Source organism: Homo sapiens, chromosome 3 (assembly GCF_000001405.40).
Source record: "Homo sapiens chromosome 3, GRCh38.p14 Primary Assembly".
In the NCBI taxonomy this organism is placed as follows: Eukaryota; Metazoa; Chordata; class Mammalia; order Primates; family Hominidae; genus Homo; species Homo sapiens.
This window is the reverse complement of record NC_000003.12, coordinates 125,396,069-125,402,801: the sequence shown is the minus strand read 5'-3', so window position 1 is coordinate 125,402,801 and position 6,733 is coordinate 125,396,069. Positions and strand designations below refer to the sequence as shown.

General features: G+C 44.7%; 1 annotated feature.

Moving 5' to 3' along the window:
* Positions 651 to 1,850: an enhancer, noted in NCBI's record as "CDK7 strongly-dependent group 2 enhancer chr3:125119796-125120995 (GRCh37/hg19 assembly coordinates)". NCBI's record gives its function as "activates an origin of replication core promoter dependent on BRD2, BRD4, P300/CBP, MED14 and CDK7 cofactors, with strong dependence on CDK7, by STARR-seq in HCT116 cells {active_cell/tissue: HCT116}" and the evidence as "EXISTENCE:reporter gene assay evidence [ECO:0000049][PMID:35650434]".

Here is a 6,733-nt window from a genome sequence, read left to right as displayed (position 1 = left end):
GAAAGCTTCAGAGAAAGATGTTTTTGTCTAGGCAGAAGGAAACTGTGTCTTGGCAAGGGGCATCCAAGGGAAACTCAAAACACCTGCAGTTGATTTTAGCTTGAGCAGAAAATCCTACTTTTGTCATTAGAGATGTAAAAACATCCCTCAAACTCCACCCCACTCTCATCCCACTGTGAGAGTTGGGTCCAGTAGACCTGAGACACAAGGTTCACTGAGGATCAAAACAACAGGTTATCAAGAATTCATCCGTTTGTTCCGGAACGATCTTTTGGAATATGATATTACTATGAATCCTCTAGAAACCAAGTAAACTGGCTTGATCTGAAATAGTTTCTGAGAGGAACATGGGGCATATTTGACTATTGCGACTCTTAATTCCTCAAGAACAGTTTCTCACCCCTGGCTCCACATTGGAATGACCCATGGCATTTAAAAAATTATTGATGGCCGGGTGCGGTGGCTCACTCCTGTAATCCCAGCACTTTGGGAGGCTGAGGTGGGTGGATTGCTTTAGTCCAGGAGTTCGAGACCAGCCTGGGCAACATGGTAGAACCCCGTCTCTACTGAAAATACAAAAATTAGCCTGGCATGGTGGCATGCGCCTGTAGTCCCAGCTACTTGGGAGGCTGAGGTAGGAGGATCACCTGAGCCTGGGAGGTCAAGGCCACAGTGAGCCATGATTGCGCCAGTGCACTCCAGCCTGGGTGACAGAGTGAGACCCTGTCTCAAAAAAAAAAAAAAAAAAAAAAAGAAATTATGCAGGAGTCCAATCCCGGACCAATTAAATCAGTGCGTATGAGTGTGAGGCCTGGGCAATTACCTTATTTTTTTCGGAGGCTGTTTGATGCTGATGTGCATCCAGGGTGGGGAACCGCTGCTCCAGACAGCTCTAGATTGTAGGCAGGCCTTTTTATTTCAGAGAACAAAGGTAAGTTAAACAGGCGCTTGTCCATGTTGAGAGGACTCTCAATCTAACCAGTAAATTGGTCAATAGGTCTACATTTCAAAAACAAATTTCCAAAGTGCAAGTCATTTTTCCTATGGCTAGAAATCTTTAAAATTGTCAAAGCAAACCTTCATGTCCAAAGCAGCTTTGAAGTTTGAAATTGAAAGCTGGCAGGCTATGTCACCCTGCAGAAGGGAATATTTTAAATTCCTGGAGAGCATGTCAGAATTTCAAAGGATAATAATAATAATAGTTGAAAGCTGACTGATGTCTAGAGCCAAGCAAGCAGCGAGGCTTAACAGGATCATAGTCACCAAAAAATTCCAGACCCTCTCTGTGTCTTCTTCATAGAAATAGGCAATTATGCAGTTGGAAGGCCAGCCTCCTAACCAACAAAAGAATTCCTTCTGGAACATCTCTGCTGGAGGGCCAGATAATCTCTGCTAGAACAATTTAGGTAAAGAGGCACTTACCATTTTCCTAGAACAGTCTGCACTACTTTAGTGTAGCTGGGTTAGTAAAAGAAAGGTATCCCTTCTGTTGAGTTGAAAACAACACATGTATCTCACCAGTCCTTGTTCTGCCCTAATCCAGAGTTGGAGCTTCTACAACAACCATGTCTAGCCATGTCCACTCACCAGTTCTCTCTTCTCTAGCCTGTGTCCTCAGTTTCTCTGACCATTCTTGGTATAAGATGGTTTCCAGATTCCTCACCAGCTGGGTGTTCTCCTAAATCTGTCAATGTCCTTCTTAAATATGATACCCAGAACCAAACACTGAGTATGAAATATCAAATGCATCAAGAAGGGCTGGGACAAGATTCAGACACAGAAGAACCCAGGCTAGCTGCTCTGTAATTAGAAAGGGATCTGGGCCCTGGCCAGGTCAGCGTGGGGACCCTGGCATGGGCTAAGATAGACCTCACAGAGGCACAAATCACCCGTGACCATAACCATGTGGTCAGAAAAGGACAGACAAGCTTTAGCACCAATTTGATTATGTTTAACCAAGGATTGGACACAAATGCAACCTTGTAATTTTAGTGCTCTGGCAGGAAGAGCCCCACTGGCCACTTGAGGATGCTGGCTGAGAAGTTGGAGGCTCTCATGTCAAACATAAGTGATATGGGGGCCCTGGGTTGTTTCCAGACAGATGTTAGTGGAATAATCTGGAAGGCAGGGTGGGATTGAGACCAAAAGTGGTGCCCTGTTTCCTTGCCCAGAACATTGGGAAACTCGGTGTTCTTAGGAGAATAGAAAAGAGGCAGAGGTAGTGACCCAAATATATTCATCAAAAGCCGCCCCGCTTGGAGAAGGAAGGGGATAGTTGTCTCAGCTCCCTTGCACACCTGCTCTTTTCTTGTGTTATAGAGTCAGGGCTTTAGAGAACGCTCTGCAGAATACCGTGTCTGGAAAGAGACAAGTTCAGAGAGATTTCCAAGGGTAGCAGACCAGAGGCAGCTTTGCCCTTCAGAAGGTGAAGGCTACTTGGAGAGCTGGCATCTGAAGGTGAGGATAAAAGCAAGCACATCACTTCCTCATGTTGAGGCCAGAAAATAAGAATCATAATTAGAAGTGATGTAATCATTTTGCTCGAAAATCATTTCTGTGTGTCTGACCAGCAGAATAGGCTTCTTTCAGCAAGAAGCTCAGGGGAGGGTCAAGGTTGCAAGTTGTCACAGGGAGGGGACTCTCTCACGAGAGGGGGCCTTTGTGCCTATGTGGCAGCAGCCACTAGCTCTTTGTCATTTGGTTTGTCTAGTCTCAGCACATCACCACATACAATGACTATGATAAAAGACTTCCTGGCTGGGCATGATAGCTCATGCCTATAATCTGAACACTTAGGAAGGCCAAGGCAGGAGGATGGCTTAAGGCCAGGAGTTCAAGACCAGCTTGGGCAACAAAGTGAGATAATGCTGTCTCTAAAAAAAAAAAATCCTGATTTTGTGGGTGGTTGATGGCTGATCTGATCTTCTCCTTCCAATGTCACCATCTTCTCTGGAAATGATCTGAAATGCAGAGCAGACATGAGAAGCAACTACAAAAACTGAGGGCTGGAAGTGGAGGTGAGGGGAGGTTGTTTTGTTTTCTTGGTCTGAAATATCTGGATTCTTGAGTTCTCTCATGGCTTGCCTGGCATCTGAAATGATGTGACATTATGGCAGTTGGAAACAAATACACACGAAGGACTTCCATGAATGAATATTTTCCTTTTAGAGAAAAAAAAAACCAACCTATTAGTGATGCTATTTTTTTTAAACTGGAGGAAGTCAACATTTAGCTTGAGTGGATCCCTACAAGCTCCTCTGACAACTCAAAACAGAAGATCCAGACATTGCCTAGTAAAATCCACATCTCAGAAATTCCAGGGAACACATAATTCTCATGTTTTAGAGAAGAAGGAAGCAGGTTTGGAAATGGAATCAGTTGAAATGAATGTCAGCCTTCAGGAAATTGTACTGCTCAAGAGAAATTTTAATGTTCTGAACATGTGCAACTATCCAAAATCATGGAGTAGGAAATGTGTTGGTTCATTCATTCATGCATTCATTCACATAACAAATATTTATTGAGGGCCAACTCTGTGCCCACAGTGTCTCTTTGGCTTCCCAGGTTAGAGGCAGCTCTGTCAGGTGTTCTAACTCTGTAGGAGGGAGATATTGCATATTCATTAACCTCCTCCTGGGAGGCAGGGTGCCCCCAGGCGATCAGATGCTAGTGAGGCAGATGGAGCCTCATTCTTAGATTTCATAAGCTCTCAGCAGCCTTCACATTTGGAAACACAGTTTATGGAGGGAGATGATCTCACCTACATGGCAGGGATTGAGGACACCTGAATCCAGGTTTCTTCAACTTTCCTACTCTCTCTCTCTCTCTTTTTTTTTTTTTTTTTTTTTTTTGAGACAGGTCACCCACACTGGAGTGCAGTGGTGCAATCATAGCTCACTGCAGCCTCAACCTCTGCACCTGGCCAGCTTTCCTGCTTTTCACATAAAAATGTCTTTGTATCTTTACTCATTGCCTTCTTCTCTCTTGTTTCAAGAAAGAAATGCCTAAGGCTGACCAAGCATGGTGGCTCATGCCTATAATCTCAGCACTTTGGGAGGCTGAGGCAGGAGCATCACTTGAGGCTGGCAGTTCAAGACCAGCCTGTGCAACATAGTGAGACCCCCGTCTTTACAAAAAAATGAAAAAATTAGCTGGGCATTGTGGCACACGCCTGTAGTCCTGGCTACTTTTTGGAGGTTGAGGCAGGAGGATGCCTTGAGCCTAGGGGTTTGAGTCTGCAGTGAGCCATGAACGTGCCACTGCACCCCAGCATGAGTGACAGAGCAAGACCCTGTCCCAAAGAAAAAAAAGAAGTGCCCAAGGCTAATTTCTCCAACTGAACCTCAATCCCTTCTCACCCAATATCCTTGAAGCCTTGCCCCATCGACTGTCCTCACCTCTCCAGCATCACCTCTTATTTTTTCCTGCTCTCCACAAACAAACCTGCTTCCCTGTTTCTCTTGTACAAACTAACTCTCTATTCTGTTACTTCTCAAACTATCCTGAGTTTCTCTATTTCCAGCAACACCAGCCTCCTCAGATGGTACTTCTTCCCCCTTATTCACTCCATCATCTCCCTGCAAACTTTATAGGTTCACACAAAACTGTAATTCCAAAGGTGACCAATGACCTTCGTGACAGAGAGTTATGTCCCAACATCTGTCATCTTCTTTTAGAAATAGAACCCATTATTTTTAGCTGCATACCAGACTGCCCAGTTAAAGATTGCATTTGCAAGTTTTCCTTGCAGCTAAGTGTTACCATGTATGTAACTTCTGGGATGTCCCCTGAAAAGAAAGGGGGCATGCTATTCACTTTTGCTTTTCACCTGCACCCTGGCTAGAATGTAGAAGGATGTCAGGGACAGTCATTTTTGACCTGAAATAGCAACCTCATGTGCTGAAGATAGTAGAGCAACAAGATAGAAGGAGTATGGGTCCCCATCAATGTGGCACTTCCACATTATCCCCGAACTATTTATGCTGGGCTCTTGTGTGAGGAAGATATACTGTACACTGTTATTTTGGTCTTTATTACAGCAGCCAAATCTGTATCATTATAGAGTAACCCATATCTTCAACATAAGCTTCTGATTGCCTGTTGCAATGACCATTTCTTAGGCCCTCCTGTCCCTGCAGCACTGGACACTGTGGATTCCCTTCCTCTTCCTGCTGCTCTCCTGATATTGCATAATCCGATTCCCTTCAGTGGCTACCCCAGTGCCATCCCTCCTTTATCCATGGCCCTCTTTGGTAAGCTGATCCCAACTCATTATTTGTTCTTCTTCTTCTTTTTTTTTTTTTTTTTTTTTTTTTGAGACAGAGTCTCACTTTGTCACTCAGGCTGGAGTGCAGTGGTGCGATCTTGGCTCACTGCAACCTCTACCTCCTGGGTTATAGTGATTCTCCTGCCTCAGCCTCCCAAGAAGCTAGGATTACAGGTGTGCGTGCCACCACGCCCAGCTGATCTTTTGTATTTTTAGTAGAGATGGGGTTTTGCCATGATGGCCAGGCTAGTCTCGAACTCCTGACCTCAGGTGATCCACCCGCCTCGGTCTCCCAAAGTGCTGGGATTACAGGCATGAACCACCGTGCCTGGCCTCAACTCATCATTTCAATCCTTTCTTCAGAACTTATTAGCACTACTCCTGGACCAGTGCAAAGACCAGAGCAGTATGGCCTGATGGCAAAGAGCACAGACCGCCCTGCTTGAATCCCGGCTCTGCCACCTAACCACTGTGGGATCTTGGGCAAGTTACTTAACCTCTCCTTGTCCCAGTTTTCTCATCTATAAAGGGAGGATAATAAGAGTACTAATCTCAAATGGCTGTTGTAAAGAGTAAATTAGTTAATGGATATACAGTTTTCAGAACAGAGCCTGGCACCTGGAAAGTTCTATGTAAAGTGTTAGCTCTTGCTGTTGTTGGTGTTCACACCTGAGGACGCAGGTCCCAGTCCCTGAACGTGGCTGGCCCAGACGTTACCTTGGAGGCACAGTCATGTCATGGTGCTTTGGCGGCTAGAAATGAGATTGGATTTCTCAGCCTGCCTGATTCCTGATCTCTTCGCTGCTCTGGCCTCTGGCAATTACAAGATGCTTTTCCTCCCCTCTGTTTCAATGACTTTTGGATGCCTCAGTGTTTGTAGTTGCTTCTCATGTCTACTCTGTATTTCAGATCATTTCCAGAGACGATGGTGATATTGGAAGGAGACGATTACCCATCTCTAGTCCTGACCCTTCACTCAAGCCCCACTGCTGCCTCAAACAATCCATGGCCATGGCACCTCAAACCTCTCCTTTGCATCACTGTCAGAGCTGTCCAGATGGGTTCTGCTTGGTTGGTGGATTCGCAGGCCTTGGACTGTGGGGCTGACTCGAGATAATTTCCACACGCCACTGAGCATTTTTACTGGGAAGCGTTTCTTTCCTTCTCCTGGATGATGGTGTTATCGGACTTGTATAGATTAGGAGGGAGACCTTAGGTTTCAGAATCAGACTGACCTTAATTCAAGTCCAAGCTACCCACTAGTATTGGGCAAATTATTGTACTCAGAGTCTCATAACACACAACTCACAAATATGTTAGCAAAAATTAGATACACGTAGATAATGCACACAGGAAACGTGGCACATAGGAGGCATTAAATAAATTTTTTCTCTTCTATTAAAAAGTAATGTTTGTTCTGTTTACATTTACTTATATTTTGCATTTTTTTTTCCTCTAAAACTTACA